Source organism: Homo sapiens, chromosome 14 (assembly GCF_000001405.40).
Source record: "Homo sapiens chromosome 14, GRCh38.p14 Primary Assembly".
NCBI classification, from domain to species: Eukaryota; Metazoa; Chordata; class Mammalia; order Primates; family Hominidae; genus Homo; species Homo sapiens.
In genome coordinates, this window is record NC_000014.9 from 100,293,942 (window position 1) to 100,317,833 (window position 23,892).

Consider the following 23,892-nt stretch of genomic DNA (forward strand, 5'->3'; position numbering starts at 1 on the left):
AAATCGTGTCTGTAAAAAAAATTAGCCTAGTGTGGTGGCATACGCCTGTAATCCCTGCTACTCAGGAGGCTGAGGTGGGAGAATTGCTTGAACCCGTGAGGCAGAGGATGCAGTGAGGTCATGCCACTGCACTCCAGCCTGGGCGAGAAAGGAACATTCCATCTCAATAAATAAATAAATAAAAATAAAAGCAATGACCTTGGCTCCAGGAGCTCCTGCCTGGTCTCTGCCAGTAGCCTCTCGTGAGAACAGCAGTTATGAGTTAATAGAGTGGTGGCAAGAGAACAGCCAACAACCTCCTTGGGGACCCACGTCAGCAGCTCTGGGGCCTGGGGCGCTGGTCAGGCCCCGCTGCCTCCGAGCCCAGTGGCCCAGAACCTCTTCCATGTCAAAGTGCTCTTTGTTGCCTATGAGCTTATCTTTGCTCAATAGGAGGCTCAGAGTTGCAGAGCGGGCGGTGGGAGTAAACTAGGTCAAGTCACATTCTCAGGGGCTGGTTCCCTAGGTCTGACTCAGAAATGATCATTCTTACAGCCAGGGCCACAGAGCAAGTGCCTTCGGTACTAGGCAGCATGGGACAGGGGAGGGCTTCACACTCAATTATCTCGGCATTGGGACAACTGCCCCCATTTCCAAGATGGGAAGACAGGCTCAGAGATGTTTAACAACTTGGCCAAAGCTGTCCTCTCCAGGGACATGAGCAGCTGTGTTGCTCAGAGTGAGGGTGGGAGGGAGTGCTAGCAAGGGAGAGCCCTCACCGGGAACAGCCAGGCTTCTGCCCGGATTCTGGAACCTTTTCCAATTCTCTCCACCAGAATAGGTGGGCCCTCTATTGGTGAATGCACTTATAAAAAATGTTTTGTTAGGAAACAAGTACCATCTCAGTACCCCCAGGACCTCAACAGCTGGAAGCCAATGCTTCAAGATTGGCCCGAAGCACCCTCCCACCCTGGAGGCCCAGTTCTTGGCCAACACCTTGATGCGAGGTTTGCTGCTCTCCCTTCAATGTTCTGGGGCCTCTGGGGGGATCTCTGTTCCTCCTGCAGCCCCAACACTGGCACTAAGAGGGCTGTGTGAGTAGAACTGATGTGACATGGAGCTGTCCCTTCCCAGGTTGGATACTCAGTGCCACCTGGGTAGTGTTGTGAAGTCTTTGCAGATCACAGACACTGGTGAATGCCCAAGTCCAGCCGGCTGGGGAATGTCAGGCTTAGGTCAACTCAGCTTCTCCCACCAATGTGGGCAGAGGCCTCTCCCCACTTTGTTTCTGACCCCTCAGTACCCCTCAGTCTGTGACGAGCCCTTGCTCTCTGGGAGAGGAACTGTGGCCCAGTGTCCCAAGTCTTGTCATTTATAGCTCAGGCTCTTAAAATCTTGGGGTGCCAGGCTCTCCTTTGAGGATTGATGGGAACGGACCCACCCCTGGGAAACTAGTCATTTGGACACAAGTTTAGGAAGCTCCCAGCTCCCCATAGGGCCGAGAGACCCCCACATGAGGACCCCCAATCCAGAGGGGGCTGATTTTTTTTGGCCAGCCCGAGCCCCCACCCCAGGACCTGTGCTGAGCCCAAGCTTGCCTCACACCCTCCCTGTCCCCTGCTACGGAGGGAACTCTGGGGTTGGGGAGATGGGCATGACAGGGTGGGGTCCAGGCTGGGATCTGGTTCACCTGGTCTGTACTTACTAGCGCTCTCCAGGGTGAGGCTTACGCCCATCTACAACAAAGTTACACTTTTGCTATGGATGGAGACAGCCCCTAGCTCAGAAAGTAAAGGCGGTTAAAGCAACACAAAATTTCAACATCACATCCAGGCGCGGAGCCCCCACAGCCAGCCCCCACCCACACTCCCCATCCCATGCCCAGGGATGGCCGGTCACCCCCTCATCATAGGTCAAGACAACTGCTCCCTGATTATTGCTGTGTCCAAGGAAGCAGGACAGAAAACTCCCTTCGTGTAGAAACGTGTGAAGGCCGTGTGCTTCAGGACGGTGGCTGTGGTTCTGGGCGCTATAGAGGAGATCCAGATCTTGGATTCTTTCAGTCCCAAGGGCCTGGGGGAATAAACTGTGACTGTCCCAGCCATGAGATAGTCTGTGGCCATGTGACAGTACGGACTGACACAGACTCGGGTGGCCCCTGATGATCCTAGGGTACAGCTGCAATTATATTCAACCAGGCAAAAGGGACCCGTGGTGTTGGAAGTGAGGACAGTGGGCCAGGCCTGTCATCCCAGCACTTTGGGAGGCCAAGGCAGGAGGATCACTTGAGCCCAGTAGTTTGAGACCAGCTGGGCAACATATCAAGACCCCATCTCTACTAATAACTTCAAAAAAAACATGAGCTAGGCATGGTGGTGTGTGCCTGTAGTTTCAGCTACTTGAGAGGCTGCGGTGGGAGGATTGCTTGAGCCTGGGAAATCAAGGCTGCAGTGGGCTATGATTGCACCACTGCACTCCACCTAGGGTGACAGAGCAAGACCGTGTCTCAAAAAAAAAGGAGGAAGTTAGGCCAGTGGAAGCCTCAGAAGGGGAGGGAGGAGTTGATAGGAGCAGGAGGGAAGACTTCCAGAGGGCTGGCCATGTTCTGTTTCTCCTGGGTGGCAGCTCGCCACGCATGTGTTTTGCGACGACTTGTACACCTAGGATGTGTGCACTTTCCTTCTTTTTTCTTTTTTGAGACGGAGTCTCATTCCGTTGCCCAGGCTGGAGTGCAGTGACGCGATCTTGGCTCACTGCAAGCTCCGCCTCCCGGATTCACGCCATTCTCCTGCCTCAGCCTCCCGAGTAGCTGGGACTACAGGCACCCGCCACCACGCCCGGCTAATTTTTTGTATGTTTAGTAGAGACAGAGTTTCACCGTGTTAGCCAGGATGGTCTTGATCTCCTGACCTTGTGATCCGCCCGCCTCAGCCTCCAGAAGTGCTGGGATTACAGGCATGAGCCACTAGCCTGGCCAGGATGTGTGCACTTTCTATATGTGCTGGACCTCAACTAAAAACAAACAGTAGCCAGGCGTGCTGGCACGTGCCTGTAATCCCAGCTACCCAGGGGGTTGGGGGGGGAACCGAGGCAGGAGAATCACTTGAACCCAGGAGGAAGAAGTTGCAGTAAGCCAAGGTCGCGCCACTGCACTCCAAACTGAGTGACAGACACAGACTCCATCTCAAAGAAAAGAAGTTCAGCTTTTTAAGGTAGGTATGTCCAGATGTGATGCTGCTGGAGCGACAGAGTGGCAAAAACAAAAACAAAACAAAACAAAAGGATCACATATAGATCTTCTCAAAGACCACCCTCCAGACGCCAGTGAAGTAGGGTCTGGGGAGTAAAATCTCATGGGCTGGAGAAACTCCTGTCCCTGAGTCACTTCAGGGGTGCTGCTCGCGGGCTCAGTGGCTCAGGACAGCAGAGCACCAGAACGAAAGTGCTCCCAGGCCTGCCAGGGGCTGCCTGAGGGGGCCGGGCAGAAGCCCAGCAGGTCTGGCCAATTCATAGCTCAGAGAGCCCAGGCCTCCACGGAGCTGGAAAGAGGAAGTGAATGTGAAGCACTTCTTGGCTGCGAGAGGCGTTCACAACACATGACCACGAGACATAAACACAGTGCAACGTGGACACTGCCAGGCTGTCCTGGGCTGCTCTGGCCTGGGGGAGGCTTCACGGGTGGCCTGGCTAGGCAGCGCGTGGGCATGGCTGGGGCCGGGGGCTGTGTGGGCAGGCTCTGCACGGCCTCACTCTCGGCAGGCCGGTGCAGCAAACGTGGGGCCGCTGCCTGCCAAGAAAGCCTGGCCCTTCAGCCTCCTCCCCAAATTGGCCTACAGTGGATAGAAGAGTTGTGGTTTTCAGAGCTAGCATTTAATCCAACATAAATTATGCTGTTGAGCACTGGCACGATGACAACGTTTGAGCCCAAAGATACAGGGACCTGCCCAAGGTCATGCAGAAAACCGGCTGGCAGAGGGGCCCGGACCTGCACAAGGCCCAGGGACAGAGCTTTTTAAGGTCACAGCCAATGCAAAGGCCAGACCCTCACTCTTGTGCTGGATGCAATCCACCCCTTATGGTAAGTCACTGTCTCTGCCAACACACACCTAGGCTCACCAGAAAAGGAGACTGGAAGTCTCCCGCAAACCCAGCTCAGGGTGCGCATCCTGCCTTGCCGTCAGCTGTGCCTTTGCTCAGTGGGAAGAGCGGCCACGTGTAGCGCTGCCAGCAAGCACAAGGCTGGTCTGGTGCCTGCCACTCACAGCTTGCCCTGGGGCCAAGGAAAAAGAGCAAGGAAGGGCCCCGCTGGGCTACTTTCAGAACACACAGCCCAACCACAAGCGGAGGGTGGGGGGTTTATTGGGGAATTTCCAGCTGGAGGGCATAGATTTCCTTGGTTTCCGTTCTGGGGGTCTGAGAACCTGGAACTCCGGTTCATGGAGGTGTGGGGTGTTATCAAGGAACCGGCTAACAGGGCCCTTCCTCAGGCCTCTGGCACGTGGGAAACCATCACTGGATTCTCTGTAAGGATGATCACCACTCCGTGAAGATCATGTTCATGGGAGATATGAGTTTTGGTTTTTTTTGTATTTTCTCTCTGAACTTTTCTTTCTTTCAAGGAACTGTTTGGGAGAGTTCTGCATGGGAACATGTGGGTGCCCTTGCTCTGGGTGGGAGAAAACCTCAGCACCTCGGTTCCAGCTGGCCAAGCCCAGGATGGACTTGGCCATGAACCCAGCATGTGGATCAGCCCCAGCTGGGAGATGCCAGGACAAAGCAGTGAGGAAGGTTCAACCCGGCCTGGTGTAAAAGCAGCTGCCCACCTGGGGCTGTACACGGAAACAGGCTTCCAGCCACCCCAACCCTGTGAGCCTCTCTCCAATGTACGCGCCGAGGAAAAAAAAGCAGCGATGAGACTCACCTTGACCGTGTCAAACGGGTGTCCCACAAGCACGCCTGCCACACCTGGAGGAGGAGAGGGGGACTTGTGACCCACATACCTCAGAAACACAGTGCAGGGTGCTGGGCAGGAGGGGGTTCTGACAAGGAAGACTGGCAGGAGCTGCTGCCGGGGAAAGGACATTGACCAAGCACCTGTGGGTGCAGCAGGCAGATCCCATGAGCCCCTGGAATCCTCACGTCCACTGGGAGGGTATGCATGTGACATCCCAAGGCCAAGCCAGCACCTGTCCCACTCAGCACTGGTGTCCCATCTGCAGGCTGCTGCTCTCCGCGGCTGACTGGTCTGGGTGGCTGACAGCAGAAGTTGTCCCCTGGGAGGCTGCACACACTATTTCTGGGATATCCCATTAATCCAAACACCTGACATGGGCAGGAGGCTCCAGAGATGTTGGACTTTGGGGTCAGACCCTCCCCAGATTTGAATTTTCCCCCTGCCGCTCATCAGCCTGGCGTGCTCACAAATGACTCTGTCTCTGGGCCTCACTCTGGGCCTTACCTGTAAAGGTTTACCTCCCTCCCCCAGAGTGGCCACGGAGACTGAACAGGGTAATGGCCCCTTGGGAGTGACGACCCCAGGTCCTGATGCACTGGCTGATACCTCCGTCCCCTTCCCTCAGTGGGAGCCACCTTGAGCCCAGGGAGACAGCTTGTGACTGTGCGGTCATCCTTGGTTCTTCAGGTCCTGCCAAAAATCCAGCCCCTCTTGAAGGACAAAGGTTCACCCCTCCAAAATGGCTCACAAACACTTCTCCAGAGTCCTAAATGCTGTGCAGGTGGTAACCATCTCTGAGTCTTGCCACCACTGTGAGTAAGCAGCCTCATTACCCATTTCACAGGAGAAACAGGCTCAGTGAGGTCAGGTAACTGACTCTGACTCCCATGCTCCTCTCCCTGGAGTTTCACGTGGACATCTGTTCAAGCTCTCCCTTTACTGCCAGTAGCGTTTATGTATAATTAAAACAGCTGGCATCTGCTGAGTAACAAACTAACATTACGACCCATTCTCACTCTTCCACTTGATGCCTGTGGAAGTTACTATGCATCTCCACAAATTGAACTTTGTATCTTTACCTAACATCCTATCCATCCTTTAATACTTTGGACCTGGCCAGGTGTGGTGGCTCACGCCTGTAATCCCAGCACTTTGGGAGGCCAAGGTGGGCAGATCACTTGAGATCAGGAGTTCAAAACCAGCCTAGCCAACATGGTGAAACCCCGTCTCTACTAAAAATACAAAAATTAGCCAGGTGTGGTGGCGGGTGCCTATAGTCCCAGCTACTCAGGAGGCTGAGGTGGGAGAATTGCTTGAATCCAGGAGGCAGAAGTTGCAGTGAGCTGAGATCGCGCTACTGCACTCCAGCGACCCAGAGAGCAAGACTCCGTTTCAAAAAGAAAAAAAAGTTTGGACCCTAAAACCCACTTGATACTCACTTTAACTTTGCCAGTTCTGCTTTCTCTTTGGTTACATGTGACTGGTATGGTTTTGTCCAACTTGTAATTTTGGTGTTTTTGTTTTTTGAGACAAGATCTCACTCTGTCACCCAAACTGGAGTGCAGTGGCATAATCTTGGCTCACTGCAACCTCCACCTCCTGGGCTCAATCGACCCTCCTGCCTTAGCCTCCCAAGTAGCTGAGACAACAGGCATGAGCCACCACACCCAGCTAATTTTTGTAATTTTGGCAGGATGGGTCTTGCCATGCTGCCCAGGCTTTGTTCAAGAAAACTCCTGACTTCAAAAAAAGCCAAGCCTCCCAAAGTGCTGGGATTACAGACATGAGCCACTGTGCCCAATGTGTAGTTTTGAACCTTTTCTTACTATCTTCTTTTAGATGTTTGTTGTAAACAACTGTATCTGGATTTTGTTTTCTAACCCAGTCTAAAGCAGTCTGATTTTGCTGGAACAACTGAGGGATCTGACATTTTTATGCCACTTTATTTTATGTAAATGGTTTATTTTACTCCTTTTTCCATACTTTTGATGGTTTGGGAAAATTACTATTTATTCCCTTTCTTTTATTTATTTTTTATTTTTTGAGACAGAGTCTCGCTCTGTCGCCCAGGCTGGAGTGTAGTGTTGCGGTCTCGGCTCACTGCAAGCTCCACCTCCCGGGTTCATGCCATTCTCCTGCCTCAGCCTCCCGAGTAGCTGGGACTACAGGCGCCCGCCACCACACCTGGCTAATTTTTTGTATGTTTAGTAGAGACAGAGTTTCACCATGTTAGCCAGGATGGTGTCGATCTCCTGACCTTGTGGCCCGCCCACTTTGGCCTCCCAAAGTGCTGGGATTACAGACTTTAGCCACCACGCCTGGCCTATTCCCTTTCTTTTTTTGAGAGTCTTGCTAGTGCCGTTGCGCGATCTGGGCTGACTGCAACCTCTGCCTCCCAGGTTCAAGTGATTCTCCTGCCTCAGCAGGACTACAGGCCCACCCCACCACACCCAGCTAATTTTTGTATTTTTAGTAGAGAAGGGGTTTCGCCATGTTGGCCAGGCTGGTCTAAAACTCATGACCTCATTGATCCGCCTGCCTCGGCCTCCCAAAGTGCTGGGATTACAGGCGTGAGCCACCACGCCCAGCTATTTATTCCCTTTCTAATTGTTAATTTGTAATTTCAGCAAAGGGTTACTTCCTGCTTTTTATTTTTATTTATTTATTTTTTGAGACCTAGGCTGGAGTGCAGTGGCACGATCTCGACTCACTGCAAGCTCTGCCTCCCAGGTTCACGCCATTCTCCTGCCTCAGCCTCCCGAGTAGATGGGAATACAGGTGCCCGCCACCACGCCTGGCTAATTTTTTGCATATTTAGTAGAGACGGGGTTTCACCTTTGTTAGCCAGGATGGTCTCGATCTCCTGACCTCGTGATCCACCCGCCTCGGCCACCCAAAGTGCTGGGATTACAGGTGTGAGCCACCACGCCCGGCACTTCCTGCTTCTAATACGTCTAATCATTATATAGAAACAGGGTAAGCACCGCCTCCCCCACGACTCTCTGCCTCCTTCTGCCCCACCCACCCCAGTAAGAGCTACCCGAAGAAGGCTCCCATCCCTGCCACCTTCCATTGACATTTTCCTCATTGAGACCGTGAGACTCAATGCACAACGATGCCCTCTCCTTCAATCTTGGGGTCTCTACTCATCAACTGCCATTTCATTAGAGCCTTTCTTTTTTTTTTTTTGAGACAGAGTCTCACTCTGTCGCCCAGGCTGGAATGCAATGGCACAATCTCAGTTCACTGAAACCTCCACCTCCCAGGTTCAAGTGATTTTTGTGTTTCAGCCTCCCGAATAGCTGGAATTACAGGCTCCCGCCACCACACCCGGCTAATTTTTGTATTTTTAGTAGAGGCGGGGTTTTGCCATGTTGGCCAGGCTGGTCTTGAACTCCCGACCTCAAGTGAGCCACCTGCCTCGGCCTCCCAAAGTGCTGGGATTACAGGCTTGAGCCACCAAGCTCGGCCCAAAATCTATTTCTTTCTTTTTTTTTTTTTTTTTGAGATAGTCTTGCTCTGTCACCCAGGCCGGAGTGCAATGGCGCGATCTCGGCTCACTGCAACCTCTGTCTCCCGGGTTTAAGTGATTCTCCTGCCTCAGCCTCCTGTGTAGCTGGGACTACAGGTGCGTGCCACCACACCCAGTTAATTTTTATATTTTTAGAAATGGGGTTTCACCATGTTGGCCAGGAGGGTCTCGATCTCTTGACCTCGTGATCCACCCATCTCAGCCTCCCGAAGTGCTGGGATTACAGGTGTAAGCCACTGAGCCCGGCTCAAAATCTATTTCTTAATCTGGTTGGGGAACAGTATGAATGCTCTGGTTGAGAATCCTGGGCCCAGGCCAGCCTTGGTCCTCTGGCTTTCAGTGCTGCAGATGAGAAATCTGCTGCCAATGTTTTTTTTTTTTTTCTCCTTTGTCAATGGTTTATTTATTCTGTGGGAGGTCGCTGAGATTTTATCTGTGGATTTCAAGAATGTCACCAGGAGATGCCAAGGGTGTGTCTTTTTCTTTAAAGTAACCCTGCCTGGAGCTCTACCAACACTTTCACTGTGCAGACTCATGCCCTCTTCTGATCAGGGAAAATTTCCACTATTATTTATTCATCATATTAATCATCTCCAGACCTGTTCCTTCTTCTTCCAGAGCCTCTAACATTCACAGGTGAATGAAGAAGCAACCACCAAGCCTATCTTTTCTTTCATGACTTCCATTTGGGTTTCTGATTTTCTGGGAGGCCTTTGCATCCTGGAAACAGGAAATCCATCCTCTTTTCCACTTCAGCTTTTTAATTTTCTAAAGCTGAAAATCCTCGTTCTAGAACCTCTTTTCTTGGGAAGTATCTGGATTTCCCTCGGTTTTGGAAACTGAACACTTGCCCAGGATGTGCCACTGGACTTTACTTCTCCCTCCAGCAGGGGGCCCCTCGAGGCCCCTCCATGTCCCTTGAAGCTAGGTCCAGCTGTGGGGTCCCCTTCCTGTGGGTGCATGGTCACGCCTCTGGCCCCAGACCTGCCCAGGTGACAGCAACAGCAGCAAGGCGTGGGAGGGAGAGAGCAGAAAGACCCTTACGCCACTTGCCTCTGTTGGGAGGCCCCACTCCCACAAGGCCCCACTCAAGTCTCCCAGGAGAGGCACTGGTTCCCACTTTCTCTTCTGACTTGTTTCAGCACCCTTCGGCGAGGGGCTTGGTCTCCTTCACCCAGAAGAACCCATCCTCAGGAACAGTGTGGGCTGTGGGGCCGGCCTCCATTGGAGGAGCCTCCTCACCACCTTTCTGAGCGCACGAGGAGGCCTCCAGTCACACCAGCAGAAGCGGAACCCTGTCTCCCAACTCCAAAGCCTACTGTCTACTGTCCTCCCTAAGCTGGGCTCCGGAGGCAATCCCCAACCAGTAGTCCTCAGGGCTGGGCGGGGTGGGGAGGAACCACTGTCCTGGGGATGGCTGGTAGCAGAGGTAGTGGAAGAGGCACCCTTCCCTCTTGGGGTTACCTCTCCTCCCGGGTTCTCCCACCCCTAGCTGAGCTTTTCTCTCTGCGCCTGCTTCTGTCCATCCAGAGCCCAGTGTCTATGTGGCCTCAAGATTTGGGTTGATCCCCCAGTAGGGGAGAGGGGGAGGCATTCCAAACCTTCCACCATGCAAGGCCTCAAGGATGCTGTCAGTCAAGATGCTGGCCCCGCCTCCCTGAGAAGTTAAAACACGTGACCCACACTAGGCGAATAGTAGGGGGTGGACAGTCCCCCTCCCCAGCCACCAAGGAGAAGCACTGGCATTATCTGCCCTGAGCCTGTAGGTTGGGGGCACCCCAAGAAGGAGCCAGGCAGGGGCTGCTGGGGTACGGGTCCCAAGGTGGGGTGCCTCTGGGCAGGCTGTCAGTGTGACCCCAGCTGTGCCAGGGACCTGGAGCCTGGGACACAGTCAGTTCACTGTCCTGAGGGGCCACCCCAGCACCCTGGAGTAAGGGGGAGAGGAGAGGACTGCAGGCTCACCCTGGCCATCAGAGGAGCATGTGGTGTGACTTTGCTTTAGTACCCCCACCTCTCTGGGCCTAGGTTTCTCCGATGAGACCAGGAGTGAGCCCCCAGGTGACTTCTGTCCTTGTCCACCTGGGAGGCTCAGGCTTACGCTTGTAGAGCCTTAGCTGGGTGGCCATTATGTGCCTGGGGGTTGCACGAAAAGCAGGGCCTGGGGGCAGGGGGGTGGCCTGTGCCCCAGTGCTACAGCACCAGACAGTGCCAGTCCTTGACCCACAAACCTGGGGCAGGGGGCATGGATATGATCTCTCCCAGGTGGGCCTATGAGGATGGGCAGCGAAGGACATTCCAGGCAAGGAGGCTGCGCGAGCGACGTGCAGAGGAGACCACAGATGTGCCGGGAGGCGCCAAGCAGGCCTGCTTTCAGGTGAAGTGTTCCTGCCCCAAACCCCGGTGTTTCCAGGAGGGCAGCACGGACGGTAGCGCCACTGCAGAAGGAACTCTGCCCATCCGGGGAAAGAATCCCCACTCCCCAAAGCCTGGAAGGAGGTGTTGGCCTGGGGACAGCCCTTCACCCCCACCCGCTGGAGCTGATAGTGGGTGGGGAGCAAGGGTGGAGCAAACAGCGAGATCAGAAGCGGGAGGGGAAGGTGAGAATGGAATCCGCAGAGGACACGCCCCCTCTGTCTCCAGGGCACCCAGCGATTAGCAGCAAATTCTGGGCTTTGTGCCCCGCAGCTTCCCACTGGGTAACCGACCGGGAAGTTCTAACTCCCCTCAGCGCACAACACCTCCCCAACACACTCCCTTTTCAACGAGTCTCTCCCCCAAGAAGCAGGCTCCGACGCCACAGATTTAATACTTAAGGCCACCGCTACCCACTCTTCCGCCAGGGCTCTCAGCGCTGGCCGGGAGCTGAGGGTTTATTCGAGCCAAATCCAAGTAGATGAAGAGGCGGTGAACAAGGGCAGGTGCTGGGAGAAAAGTGGGACCAAACAGGGATAAGCGGCCGGCCCTCTCAGCAACTCCCGCCGCCAACCACCCTCCCCCGCCCCCGACATCTAAATCCTGGTGAATAAATTAACCCTCAAGGTAAAAGCAGAGAAGCCAGAGGCCCAACAGGGAAGTGCCGTGCCCGACGCCCACGGTCGGGGCATGGGAGAGCCTGGACTGCACGCCCGCCCGGGCCCTCCCGGGGACAACTGCATGGGAGGAACCCCAGAGCCGCGACCGCGCCTCGGAGAAGGTGCCCCACACCGGCTCGCCCGACCCACCCACCACCCCCCTTCCGCCCCCAACAGCTCACAAAACCGCGTAGGAAGGGGCGGCGTTCCAAGGCGTGACTCGGCGCCAGAGTGGTTCAGTGCCCTCCAAGGCCAGCCGAGTAGGGGGTCGGCTCCGTAGCCCCAACCCCGCTGGATGGCTGCGCGGGACGGGGTGGAGTCAGTCCCGAAATATACGGCCGGGGGAGGGGACCCTGCTCCCAGTGCGCAACGGATGGGGATGGGGGAGGGGAAGGAGATGAGCCCGGGACCTCGGCGCGGGGGGCAGTGGGGCATCCTCCCGGCAGTCCTGGCCTCCGCTCAGCCACGGTGCTGCCCCGGCGCCCCAGACCTCCCGTCCGAGCGTGCCCAGAGAGAATAAAGACACCTGCCCTCGCGGACAGCCCGGGCCTGAAGTCAATTTACGCCCACGAGACCCGCCCGAGGCAAGAGAACTGTGGTCCCCATTCACAGACGCGGCGACCCCCGCCAGCGGGAAGCCGCGAGGCCAGGGCGTGCTGGTGGGCCGACCTCCCTCCCCGGACGCCTCGCCCCGGCCCGGCCCGGCCCGCCGCCTCCTTACCCCCCGCGCATCCAGCCAAGAAGTCCAGCGCCATGGCCGGGTCCCCGGCGAGGCCGCCTTTCCTCCTCGTCCTCCCCCTGAGGCCCCTCGCCGGGCTGGGCGCCGTCGGGGTCCCCGAGCGCGCGGTGCCGGGGCTGGGCCTGGCCGCTCCTCCTGGCGCGGAGCCCGGGCAGGCGCGGTCAGGGATGGTGGGGATGGCGGCAGCAGCTAGACCCGCGCTGGTCCCTCGGCGGCAGCTGACTCGCTGGATCCCCTCCGGCCCGCGGTCCCTCACCTCGGGCCGCGCGCCCCGCCCCTCGTGCCTGCCGGCAGGGCCCGGGTGGGGGCGCCGAGTGAGGCCAATGGGCGGGCACGGCGCGGACAACACCCCGGGCACTGCGCTTCGCCGCCGCGCCTCATTGGCCGGGCGTGCGCGGGAGGCGGGGCGCGGGGGACGTGGTGGGCGCGCGGGCGGGGCGCGGGGACGCCTCAGACAAAGAGCGCGCTGGGTGCGCAGGTCCGGCGGGAGGGGACGCGCGGGGTGGCGGGGTTGAGCCGAGGACTCCCCCACCCGGAGTACGCGGGGTGGCTCTGGTCTGGACCGGGTCGGGAACCGGACCCTGGGTTCGGAGTCCGGCGCCGCCGCAGAACCTCAGCGCCCTAGTCTGTGCCGTGCGGACCCTGCCGCGAAAACGGCCGTGGAGCGCCGGGACGTTCCGAGGCCCGCAGACTGGGACGCCGCTAGTTGCGAAACTCCGCGAGCGGGAATCGCCCGTGGGGAGCCTCTGCCCGTCCCGCCTGCGCGCCCGCGGCGGCGGTGGCCTCCGGGGCTTCCGGACTCCTGGCCGAACCCGCCGGGTTCTGGGGGTCGGACGCGCACGGGCGCTTCCTGCGGAGCCTGAGGCTGGGATTTGGGCGGAGAGCAGGGAACCTTAAAAGGGAAAGGGGCCATGGGCAAAGGGCGCAGCAGGCCTTCGGGCCACAGCTCCTTCCCGAGGACTGCGGGTCGCGGGAGCCGCGGAAGGTTGTGGAGAGAGGGAGGTTCCTGGACTGGGCTGCAGAGTGGAGTCGGGCCAGATCGCAGCGCCTCCGTCAGCGGCGGCCGGACGGGGCGAGACCGGAGGGGCTCGGTAGGGGCCGCGCTCAGGCGCTGAAGTCGGAGGGTGCTTGGCTCTGGGTCACCAGGGTATCCATGGGCTGCGGGGATGAATGAGAGCCGAGTCTGACTCGGCCCCCCAGGAGTCCCTGACATTCGCAGTGGCAAGGGACTGCCCTGGTCCCTGTGGAGCGTCCCATTCGGTGACTTCCCACCAGCCCTTCCCCAGCGCCTCTGGAGGTCCAGACTGTCAGGTTGGAGCCTGGGAGCAGGGACGGGCCAGGCGCTTTCTCTTCGCTGTAGGAGTCAGATCAGCCTTAGGCCGGGCCCAGCTTCCTTCTTTAGGGCCTGCAGGCAGGCAAGGCCACACCGTGTGCCACGTTTCCAGGTTTAGGGTCACATGGTTCTTTTATCCAAATTCCAGTGGGTACCTACCTCCTGGAGGTGCAGGTCGAAAGGTTCTGTGTATTTGGTACTAGGACACACAGGTAGGTGTTGTCAGTAGTGCAGCCTGGTGCTAGGGGCAGGGGTCCCCAGTGCTCATGTTAGTTTCCTTTTAGAGTCTAAGTAGAATGTTAAGCAGAGACCCAAACCCTAGGTCTGCTGACTCCTAGTCCAGGGCTCGTGATGGCTGGTGGGCCCTGAACGAGGGGTCTGGAGGCCTGGGTTTGAATATCGACAGCCTCTCTGACCCACTTGGTTGCCTCAGGGAGGCAGGTGTGCGGATGGGGGAGAGTGGCCCATGGGCCAGAAAAGCAGTGGTATGGGGGCCCCAAGAGAAGCCCAGACCCAAAAGGGCAGGAGCTGGCTGTGGGGCTACTCAGGTGGCTGGAGGCCTCCTGCAGACACAGTGATTACACTGGACTACCTACATGTAGTCACTTACCTTAGGAACAGGATGTCCTTGGGATGCTGGAGGGCTCATGAGGTAAAGCACAAATCCCTGCACATCCATTCCTGGTTGAGGAGGTTTGGGAGGGAAATCCAGTACCTTGACAGCATGTGGCAGTAGTGAGAAAATGATGGAAACGGATAAGGAGACAAGCATGACCTGTTTTGCTTTGTTATTGAGAGAATGCACATGCCTTGAAAATTATGCTTGGGGCAGGTTGCACTGAGCTGTCAGTCCCTGGGGTCCTTGGGAAGGGGCCTAGTAGCCTGGTAAACAGTAGGTATTCCATAGTTGAGCTTCAGAAACCTCCTTGAGGCTGGGTTCAGTGGCTCATGCCTGTAATCCAGGCACTTTGGGAGGCTGAGGCAGGAGGATCGCTTGAAGCCAGGAGTTTGAGGCCAGCCTGGGCAACATAGTGAGGCCCCATCTCTAAAAAAAAAAAAAATCGGCAGGATGTGGTGGCGCATGCCTGCAGGCCTGTAGTCCTAGCTACTCAGGAGGCCGAGGCAGGAGGGTCGCTTGAGCCCAGGAGGTCAAGGCTGCAGTGAGCTATGATCGAACCATTGTGCACCAGCCTGGATGACAGAGCAAGACCCTATTTCAAAAAGAAAAACCTCCTTGCAGGGAGGGTCCTTTGTTGAGAGAGCTGAGGCAGGCCGTGTGAGGGCAGCAGTGGGATCGTGCCAGGCCTGGGAGATGAGGAGTGCGGGCCCTTAGCTGTGCACTTTGCAAGGAGAGGGCAGGGTTCTGGGTGTGTGTGTGTGGTCGGGGGAGGGCTGTTGGATTTGGGGACTAAGGTCAACATGTGGGGGACAGTGGAGGACTGGGCTCTGGGACAGATTTGCCTGACCTGACCCGCCAAGGGAGCCTCAGCTCCCTTGTGGGTGACAGGGGGCTGCCTTCAGCTGGAAGTACCCTGAGGGCAGGTCCCAGGTCTGTCCCCTTCATCTTGGTGTGCCCAGGGCCTGCACAGTTGACACTGGGTGGGGGACATTGGGGAGGGGGTGAGGACAGGCACTGGAAAGGGATGCGTCCACACGGGTGTGCTGCTGGGTTACTAAACTTTGCAAAACCACATCTTCCTGAGCACCCTGTTTCCCTGCTGCCTGGGAATCATGCACTCAGTCGGCGCACTGCCCTGTGCCCTGTGTTGGGGACAAGACAGACACAAATCCCTGACCTCCATGTCAGGGCTGAGGAGAGACCAGAAAGGAGGAGTGAAAAAGTTGGTGCCAAGTAAATGAATCCGTATGCCTACATCTTGGACACTTGGGTTCAGTGTCTATTGTTTTATTTCATTTCCTGAGGATAAGGTTACAGCACAGAATGTGCTTTCTCAAACTCCCATGTTCCACAGAGCCCTGGACCTCCCATCCCAGAGGAGGCAGGGCTCTGTGCAGCCCTGAGGACCCCAGCCTTTTAAGGGGCAGGGCAGACCCAAGGCCAGCACAGGACAGCAAGGCCGGAGGGACTGTCACGGGGCACCGAGGGTCAAGCCAGCTCACTGGAAAGGGTGTGTTGGAGTTTTCCCTGTGTACAGCTTTTATTCTCACACAAGACAGGTTCAGTGTGGAGAAATCAGAAACGCCAGAAAGTAAAAAGGAAACGCAAGTCTCTGTCCCCACCCTGGAATCTTGGAGCTGAATGACCCCCTGCAGGAGCTGTTTGGGCCAGGACTTGGGGGGGGTGGCTGCAACTCAGGCTGCCAGAGGGCAAGTTGAGGGGGAGAGGATGAGGCACCAGCTGTGTAGACCTTCCCAGGAGTTAGGCTGTGCAGGGGAGAGTGCACAGAAGGGCTCTGGCAGCAAGCACAGGTGTAGACTCGGGATGGGAGCCACCTGAGCAGGTTGCAAACTCCTGGCCAAAGATTGGTGGGGCCGGCGCGCTGTCAGTCGCCTCCTGTCTCATATTGGAATACTCGAGCTCAGTGCCATGGTGTGAGGCCCAGGGTAACCAGACTACAACCTCACCTCCCACCTTTCATGCCCTCTGGCCCTCTTATTGGAGCCCACCCTCTAAGCTTGTGCCCCTCTCAGGGCCTTGGCACTGGCAGCTCCTCTGAGTCCCTGGGGTCCTTGGGAAGGGGCCTAGTAGCCTGGGATTACAGGCACCCGACACCATGCCTGGCCAATTTTCTGTATTTTTAGTAGAGATGGGGTTTTGCCATGTTGGAAGCTTCTGCCTGGCCTGGCGTCGTTACCTCTAGAACTTGGGTTCTGGCTGGGCGTGGTGGCTCACGCCTGTAATCCCAGCACTTTGGGAGGCCGAGGCGGGTGGATCATGAGGTCAGGAGTTCAAGACCAGCCTGGCCAAGATGCTGAAACCCCGTCTCTGCTAAAAATACAAAAAAATTAGGCGCGGTGGCAGGCACCTGTAATCCCACCGACTCGGGAGGCTGAGGCAGGAGAATCGCTTGAACTCAGGTGGCGGAGGTTGCAGTGAGCCGAGATCTTGCCACTGCACTCCAGCCTGGGTGACAAGAGTAAGACTCCATCTCAAAAAAAAAAAAAATACAAAAATCAGCTGGGCGTGGTGGTGCATGCCTGTAATCCCAGCTAATTGGGAGGCTGAGGCAGGAGAATTGCTTGAACCTGGGAGTCAGAGGTTGCAGTGAGCCGAGATCACGCCACTGCCCTCCAGCCTGGCAACAGAGGGAGACTCTGTCTCAAAATAAATAAATAAATAAACAAACAGGATTTGGGTTCCTGCTCAATGCTTACCTCTTCAGAAGGGGCTTGGCTGACCTGCCATGGTCTGAATGTGTGTGTCCCCCCAAAGTTCATATGTTGAAGTCCTTTTTTTTAACTTTTAAGTTGAGGGGTACATGTGCAGGGTTGTCGTATAGGTAAACCCATGTCATGGGGGTGTGTTGTGCAGATTATTTTGTCACCTAGGTATTAAGCCTAATGCCCACTGATCCTCTCTCTCCTCCCCTCCACCCTTAGGTAGGCCCCAGTGTGTTTTGTTCCTCATATGCTGAAGTCTTAACCCCGGAGGTGATGGTGTTAGAAGCAGGGCCTTTGGGAGGTGATTAGGTTATGAGGGAATGGGATTGGTGCCGTGTGTGTGTGTGTGTGTGTGTGTGTGTGTGTGTGTGTGTGTGTGAGAGAGAGAGAGAGAGACAGGGTCTCGCTCTGTTGCCCAGCCAGAGTACAGTGGTGCAGTCACAGCTCACTGCTGCCTCAACCTCCTGGGCTCAAGCCATCCTCCCACCTCAGCCTCTTGAATAGCTGGAACCACAGGGGGCAGGTCGCCACGCTGTGCCCCACCAGCTTTGCCTCCTCCCAACCTGAGCAAGGGGCGAGCAGGCAGCCTTGGAGCCCAGCCTGGTGAGAGGACCCAGACTCTGCTCTGTCCTGCTGTGTGGCCTTGGCCACAGGTTTTCCCTCTCTAGACCTCTGGGGTTGGAATTGGCCAGTGGGTCCCTGTGGGGCTGAGTTGCCGCCACCTTGGCAAACAGCTAGGAAGGCAGATTTTGAGGCCCTGCCCCAGACCTAAGAAGTCAGCCCCAGGGAGCAGGTAGAGACAAAAGCTGCGTTTAAACCAGGCTCTTTAGTGGTTCTAAGGTGGCTGTGAAACTGTGGGTTGAGACCATCTCTAAGGATAGATTCAGGAAGATCCAACTTGAAGGGGTGGGTTGCCCCTCCACACCTATGGGTGTTTCTCGTTAGGTGGAACGAGAGACTTGGAAAAGAAAGAGACACAGAGACAAAGTATAGAGAAAGAAAAAAGGGGGCCCAGGGACCGGCGTTCAGCATACGGAGAATCCCGCCAGCCTCTGAGTTCCCTTAGTATTTATTGATCATTATTGGGTGTTTCTCGGAGAGGGGGATGTGTCAGGGTCATAGGATAATAGTGGAGAGAAGGTCAGCAGGTGAACACGTGAACAAAGGTCTCTGCATCATGAACAAAGTAAAGAATTAAGTGCTGTGCTTTAGATATGTATACACATAAACAGCTCAATGCCTTACAGAGCAGTATTGCTGCCCGCATGTCCCACCTCCAGCCCTAAGGCGGTTTTCCCCTATCTCAGTAGATGGAATATACAATCGGGTTTTACACCCAGACATTCCATTGCCCAGGGACGAGCGGGTGACAGATGCCTTCCTCTTGTCTCAACTGCAACGAGGGGTTCCTTCCTCTTTTACTAATCCTCCTCAGCACAGACCCTTTACGGGTGTCCGGCTGGAGGACGGTCAGGTCTTTCCCTTCCCACGAGGCCATATCTCAGGCTATCACATGGGGAGAAACCTTGGACAATACCTGGCTTTCCTAGGCAGAGGTCCTTGCGGGCTTCCGCGGTGTTTTGTGTCCCTGGGTACTTGAGATTAGGGAGTGGTGATGACTCTTAACAAGCATGCTGCCTTCAAGCATCTGTTTAACAAAGCACACCTTGCACGGCCCTTAATCCATTTAACCCTGAGTGGACACAGCACATGTTTCTGTGAGCACAGGGTTGGGGGTGGGGTTATAGGTTAACAGCATCTCGAGGCAGAAGAATTTTTCTTAGTACAGAACAAAATGGAGTCTCCTATGTCGACTTCTTTCTACACAGACACAGTAACAATCTGAGCTCTCTTGCTTTTCCCCACACCAACTCAGACAGTTCTGCTTTTAGTCTCAGCTGGGACTCCTCCTGGCTGCGCTGACCCATGAGCCTTCCTGCCTCAGGTTTGTCATCTGTGAACCGGGCTGGGGAGAATTCTAGGGGCTGGTCTATGCACGTGGGGGCCTCACACCAAGCTGGCACAGAGCAGGGAGAGTGCCTGCCGTGCTGTTCTAGGGCAAGATGCTCTGGCTCTCTGCCCACAACTGTCCACACCTTTGCAGGAAGTGGAAGATAAGTGTGAATGTAATTAATCAGCTGAAGTCCTGAAGGCTTCCTAAGGGCATCTTCAACGGTCTGGATGGGTTGGGGGAAATCGGGGCCCCCGCAGTGGGGCTCCCGGCCCCAGCTAGCAAAGGTCCCAAACAGCTGCTGAAAACCCAGGAACAGGTCAGGTGGCGTTGTGGCCAGGGGCTGGGGCCCGAGCTGTTGGTTTGAGGCCTGGCACTGGCGAGTCATGACTGCCCAACTGGTCTCTTTCTTGCTGTGAATAAACATTTGCCGTCTGGATAAATCTCCAGCTCTCAGCCACTCAGTGGGAGTGACCCCTCTTTGCCAGGGGGTGCCCTCTGGGCCTCAGAGGCTGAAGGGCTTGGGGCCTCTTGGCACAACACATTCAGTCCCACAGTTGCCACCAAGGTGTGTGGGTTTCTTGTATTGCCATTGGTTGCAAACGTTTAGTTTCCCAGGGCTACTGTGCAGGCGAGCTGTGGGCTCTGGGCAGGCCGGGTGCCATTCAGAACCCACTTGGCCTTCAAGGGGGCCACGAAGCCTGAGGAGGCTTGGGCCAGATTATGAGAGGACCAGAAACTCAAGATGGGGAGTGACATAAATAACACATGGCGAGTGCTTCTTGGATAAAAATAGAGCTGAAGGGGGCAGGAGTGGGGGCGGGGTATGCTCCAGAGGCAGAAGGCCAGAGGGATGGTGCGGCCACCTGGTCAGGACACAGAGGGGCCGGCAAGAGGAGCTCAGCCAGGCGTCTGTGGAGACAGCGTGGGCTTGCGGCCCTTGGCCTTCCTACATTGCCCAGGGCTCACAGAATTTAGCCTCGGGGGCAGCCCTGGGACGCTGCGGGGGCCTGGCTGTGCCCTCTCTCAGGTTCCCATTGTCACAGTGGGTATGGCTGGGTGAGCAGGCAGTCCCAGGCCTCCAGTCAGGGCAAACTGGGTTGGAGTGGTAGGGTGAGCTGGAGATGGCACCTGGAGGCAGGAGTGGGCGGGAGAGGGCGGGGAGGCTGGCAGAAAGGACAACGTGTACTGAGCCCGAGGTGTGTTGGGACCAGTTACCTGCCCAGCACGTGCCGGCATCGGGCAGAGCTGCGTCTTCCTGGGGCAGCTGCGTAGGGCTCTGCTACCTGCCCCTGCTTCGGGCTCTGTCCTCTGGAGTTCCCACCGCAGCCCCATTATTGAGCTCCTCTGCCACTTGGCCCTCCAGTGTCTGCGCCACACGTGAGAGCGTGAAGGCCAGCTGGGAGCCGGGTTCACCTCCAAAGTCACTCCTTCACAGGCCTTGCTGTGCAAACGGAGGGTGGCAGGCAGCTTCCCGTTCACCCTGTCCATGTGTGGATTTTTTTCTTTTCCTTTTTTTTTTGTTTTAGAGACAGAGTCTCTGTCACCCAGGCTGGCGTTCCGAGGCCGCAATCACGGCTCACTTCAACTTTGACTTCCTGGGCTCAAGGATCCTCCTACCCTAGCCTTTCAAGTAATTGGGGCTACAGCATGCACTACCATGCCCAGCTATTTTTTCTTTTTCTTTTTCTTTTTCTTTCTTTTTTTTTTTTTTAGAGACAGAGTCTTGCTAAGTTGCCCAGGCTGGTCTCGACCTCCTTGACCTCAAAGCAATCCTCATGCCTTGGCCTCCCAAAGTGCCAAGATTACAGGTGTGAGCCACTGTGCCCATGCGTTTACTGAGCATCTTTGTGTGCCAGGCCTGGCTAGCAGGGGCGCCTGGTGAGCCTGCCTGCAGGAGGCTTCCCTTCGAAGCTGCCTCTCTTTTCCCCTCCAAGGCACCTCCTGCCTGGGATTCTGTCCTGTCTCCCCTCCTTCATCTGCCACTGCCCCACCGGGCTCACTGCCTTCCCTGGATGTGCTGTGCTGCTCCAGCCTGGGAGCTCCAAGCCCTTCCCAGTCCTTGCTGGCCTGCCAGCCTCACCCCAGCCACTCCCTGCCAAGCACGTCCAGGCCGGTGTGCCCATTAGGCATGCACTCCTACTGCTGCCTGCGAGGACGTCTCCATCTGCTTTCCAGAGGGCTCATCTCTCTTCTCTTTGCTGAAACCTCCACAACAGCCAAGACTGAGACAGGCTTCTGGGGTCCTTGCAGGGGCCTGCCACATCCATCTGTTTCCATTCCTGGCTCTTTGTGGTGGCTTGAAAATATGTCCACAAGTCTTTAGTGCTCCCCCATTTCAAGAGGCGAAACCTCACTTCCCTCCCAGCAAGCGTGGGCTGGACTTAGTGACTCGCTTCCAGTGAATAGAAAATGGTGGCAAAGACAATGCATTGCCTCTGAAACTGGGTCCTAAAAGGCACTACAGCCCCTCCTTGCTCTCCTGGATCACTCGTGCTGGGGGACATTGGTGCCATGTTGTGAGGGTGCCCAAGCAGTGCTGTGGGGAGGTCGGCAGTGTGGTGAGGAGCTGAAGCCTCCAGCCCACAGCCGTGTGAGTGGGTCACTTCGGCAGGGGTCCTCCCAACCTAGCCTAGTCTCCAGATGACTGCAGCCTCATGAGAGCCCCTCATCCAGAGCCACCCAGCCAGTTTATTCATGGCTTCTGGACCCTCAGGAGTTATGAGATCATAAATGTCGATTTTTGTTGTTTTGTTTTTGTTTGTTTGTTTGTTTTGTTTTGTTTTTTAGGAGTCTCGCTCTGTCGCCCAGGCTGGAGTGTAGTGTTGCGGTCTCGGCTCACTGCAAGCTCCACCTCCCGGGTTCATGCCATTCTCCTGCCTCAGCCTCCCGAGTAGCTGGGACTACAGGCGCCCGCCACCACACCTGGCTAATTTTTTTGTATTTTTAGTAGACACGGGGTTTCACCATGTTAGCCAGGATGGTCTCGATCTCCTGACCTCGTGATCCGCCTGCCTTGGCCTTCCAAAGTGCTGGGATTACAGGCGTGAGCCACCACGCCCTGCCAATGTCTGATGTTTAAAGCAGCTAAATTTTGGGGCAATTTGTTATGCAGTAATAGATTACACACTCTCCAGCCAGGCTGGGGCCACAGGTGGGCGAGGGTGGCATCTCTGGCTCCCCTGCCCAGCGTGGGGCCTGGCATGAGAAGGTGCACACGAGTGAATGAATGAAGGAATAACAGACAGAAGTCAATCCCTTCCTTTGCCCACATGAGCTGATATGATAGGCCCCAGGCCCTGCTCTGGAGAGGGCCTCCCTTTCCTCAGTCCAACCTCCCTGTGCCTTGGATCCAGGTGAGAACCCTGAGGTCCAGGACAAGTGGCCTTCTCAGCCCTTGCAGCCAGTGGACTCCAGGTCTAAGGACGCCTCCTGGTCAGGGCACAAAGGGCTGGAGAGCAGGGAGAAATGTGGGCAGCAGGAGATGCTGCAAGAAGCAGCCCCCCAAAAGGCTTACGGGTCTGGGGACTCTGAAGGGACAGAGCCAGGGTGTGGTGGGGGCTCAGGAACGCCAGCAGCAGGGCCTGACCTGACCTGCGTGGTCAGCCCTCTGACTTCACTTCTGCCTCTGATTACTAATACCTGTTAACCCTGCTGCAGCTGGCTGTTGTCCCCGTTCACAGATAGGGAAACCGAGGCACAGGAGTTAAGTCCATTGGCTACGGTGTCATCTGTGGCAGAGCTGGGCCTCAAATTCCAGGTCTTTTCTTGGACCTTTTTTTTTTTGAGAGTCTCACTCTGTTGCCCAGGCTGGTGTGCAGCAGTGTGAACTAGACTCGCTGCAACCTCCACCTCCTGGTTCAAGAGATTCTCCTGCCTCAGCCTCCCAAGTAGCTAGGTTTACAGGCACCCGCCACCATGCTCAGCTGTTTTTTTGTGTTTTCAGTCGAGACAGGGTTTCACTATGTTGGCCAGGCTGGTCTTGAACTCCTGACCTCGTGATCCGCCCACCCCGGCCTCCCAAAGTGCTGAGATTACAGGCTTGAGCCACTGCGCTTGGCCATTTTTTTTTTTTCCAGACAGAGTCTCGCTCTGTTGGCCAGGCTGGAGTACAGTGGCACCATCTCATCTCACTGCAACCTCTGTCTCCCAGGCTCAAGCAATTCTCCTGCCTCAGCCTCCCGAGTAGCTGGGATTACAGGCGGGTGCCACCACACCCGGCTAATTTTTGTATTCTTAGTAGAGATGAGGTTTCACCATGTTGGCCAGGCTGGTCTTGAACTCCTGATCTCAGGTGATCCGCCTGCCTCGGCCTCCCAAAGTGGTGGGATTACAGGCGTGAGCCACTGTGCCCACCCTTTTCCCGAACTCTCATCGGCTGCTTCTGTCTGGGCTGTGGTGTCCTTATCGGTAACAGGAGCAGTGGCAGTGGGCCCACGGGGTGGGGTTTGACACCTGTGATGACCTCAGTGGGAAAGGTAGCATCTAGTGCCTCTTCCTGCAGGAGTGGAAGCTGGAGTTGGGAGGCAGCCCTACCTCTGCACCCTGTTTCCAGGGAGGGGAGACAGCACGAATGCCCTGTGATAGGCTTTGTAGCTTGAAGGTCTGTCCCAGGGGCCGCACGGGCTCAGAGACCCCAGGCCCAGGGCCCTAGCTTTCAGGATTTCAGAGGGAGGCTAGAGTGTCTGGGAGGACTGAGCGGGGGCTCATCCTGCTCCACACACCAATCTCACCCCAAAGGCACACCCACTCCCTTCCAGAGTGGGTGAGACTGCACCCACCCACTGCCTGGGGTCGTGTGGTCTGCAGCAGCCAGCTGGGCATTGTATATACCCAAACACACACGGGCCAAGCCTGGAGCATATAGGCTCTCATATCCTGGGCACAGGGCTGGCTTGTTTCATTTTACTTATTTATTTTGGGGATCAAGGTCTCACTGTTGGCAGACTGGAGTGCAGTGGTGTGATCATGGCTAGGGCCCTGGGCCTGGG

General features: G+C 56.3%; 1 protein-coding gene and 1 non-coding gene across 30 annotated transcripts in view, besides 11 other annotated features; one reads left to right on the forward strand and one right to left on the reverse strand.

Annotated features, from left to right (window-relative positions):
* Positions 1 to 12,503, reverse strand: part of SLC25A29 (solute carrier family 25 member 29) — a 27,878-nt gene extending 15,375 nt beyond the window's left edge. For 4 of the 29 annotated variants that reach the window (XR_007063981.1, XR_007063983.1, XR_007063982.1 and 1 more), the window contains exons 1-3: positions 10,694 to 11,667; positions 5,074 to 5,232; positions 4,901 to 4,944 (exon numbers count right to left, since the gene is read on the reverse strand). Coding sequence is in view for 7 of the 29 variants with exons in the window: in XM_047430946.1 (XP_047286902.1) it covers positions 4,901 to 4,944; positions 5,074 to 5,232; positions 10,694 to 10,709 (219 nt within the window). In the remaining 22 variants the exon portion in view is untranslated. Of the gene's footprint in view, positions 1 to 1,684; positions 4,945 to 5,073; positions 5,233 to 10,066; positions 11,668 to 11,718; positions 11,836 to 12,257 lie in introns of those variants that run through there. The other 25 variants (XR_007063984.1, XM_006720039.5, NM_001352820.2 and 22 more) reach the window with 24 other exon arrangements.
* Positions 268 to 317: a silencer, noted in NCBI's record as "silent region_6086". NCBI's record gives its function as "represses an Ori minimal core promoter by ATAC-STARR-seq in GM12878 lymphoblastoid cells {active_cell/tissue: GM12878}" and the evidence as "EXISTENCE:reporter gene assay evidence [ECO:0000049][PMID:35858748]".
* Positions 9,422 to 9,591: an enhancer, noted in NCBI's record as "active region_9031". NCBI's record gives its function as "activates an Ori minimal core promoter by ATAC-STARR-seq in GM12878 lymphoblastoid cells {active_cell/tissue: GM12878}" and the evidence as "EXISTENCE:reporter gene assay evidence [ECO:0000049][PMID:35858748]".
* Positions 10,997 to 11,076: an enhancer, noted in NCBI's record as "active region_9032". NCBI's record gives its function as "activates an Ori minimal core promoter by ATAC-STARR-seq in GM12878 lymphoblastoid cells {active_cell/tissue: GM12878}" and the evidence as "EXISTENCE:reporter gene assay evidence [ECO:0000049][PMID:35858748]".
* Positions 11,127 to 11,186: an enhancer, noted in NCBI's record as "active region_9033". NCBI's record gives its function as "activates an Ori minimal core promoter by ATAC-STARR-seq in GM12878 lymphoblastoid cells {active_cell/tissue: GM12878}" and the evidence as "EXISTENCE:reporter gene assay evidence [ECO:0000049][PMID:35858748]".
* Positions 11,439 to 12,005: an enhancer, noted in NCBI's record as "H3K27ac hESC enhancer chr14:100771717-100772283 (GRCh37/hg19 assembly coordinates)". NCBI's record gives its function as "activates a minimal SCP1, AML or CMV promoter by ChIP-STARR-seq in primed H9 embryonic stem cells {active_cell/tissue: H9 hESC(primed)}" and the evidence as "EXISTENCE:reporter gene assay evidence [ECO:0000049][PMID:30033119]".
* Positions 12,334 to 12,433: a silencer, noted in NCBI's record as "silent region_6087". NCBI's record gives its function as "represses an Ori minimal core promoter by ATAC-STARR-seq in GM12878 lymphoblastoid cells {active_cell/tissue: GM12878}" and the evidence as "EXISTENCE:reporter gene assay evidence [ECO:0000049][PMID:35858748]".
* Positions 12,494 to 12,963: a silencer, noted in NCBI's record as "silent region_6088". NCBI's record gives its function as "represses an Ori minimal core promoter by ATAC-STARR-seq in GM12878 lymphoblastoid cells {active_cell/tissue: GM12878}" and the evidence as "EXISTENCE:reporter gene assay evidence [ECO:0000049][PMID:35858748]".
* Positions 13,054 to 13,123: a silencer, noted in NCBI's record as "silent region_6089". NCBI's record gives its function as "represses an Ori minimal core promoter by ATAC-STARR-seq in GM12878 lymphoblastoid cells {active_cell/tissue: GM12878}" and the evidence as "EXISTENCE:reporter gene assay evidence [ECO:0000049][PMID:35858748]".
* Positions 13,214 to 13,283: an enhancer, noted in NCBI's record as "active region_9034". NCBI's record gives its function as "activates an Ori minimal core promoter by ATAC-STARR-seq in GM12878 lymphoblastoid cells {active_cell/tissue: GM12878}" and the evidence as "EXISTENCE:reporter gene assay evidence [ECO:0000049][PMID:35858748]".
* Positions 13,314 to 13,483: an enhancer, noted in NCBI's record as "active region_9035". NCBI's record gives its function as "activates an Ori minimal core promoter by ATAC-STARR-seq in GM12878 lymphoblastoid cells {active_cell/tissue: GM12878}" and the evidence as "EXISTENCE:reporter gene assay evidence [ECO:0000049][PMID:35858748]".
* MIR345 (microRNA 345) lies at positions 13,918 to 14,015 on the forward strand. The gene has a single exon (NR_029906.1). It is a non-coding gene; the product is annotated as a microRNA 345 (primary transcript).
* Positions 19,639 to 20,537: an enhancer, noted in NCBI's record as "H3K27ac-H3K4me1 hESC enhancer chr14:100779917-100780815 (GRCh37/hg19 assembly coordinates)". NCBI's record gives its function as "activates a minimal SCP1, AML or CMV promoter by ChIP-STARR-seq in naive H9 embryonic stem cells {active_cell/tissue: H9 hESC(naive)}" and the evidence as "EXISTENCE:reporter gene assay evidence [ECO:0000049][PMID:30033119]".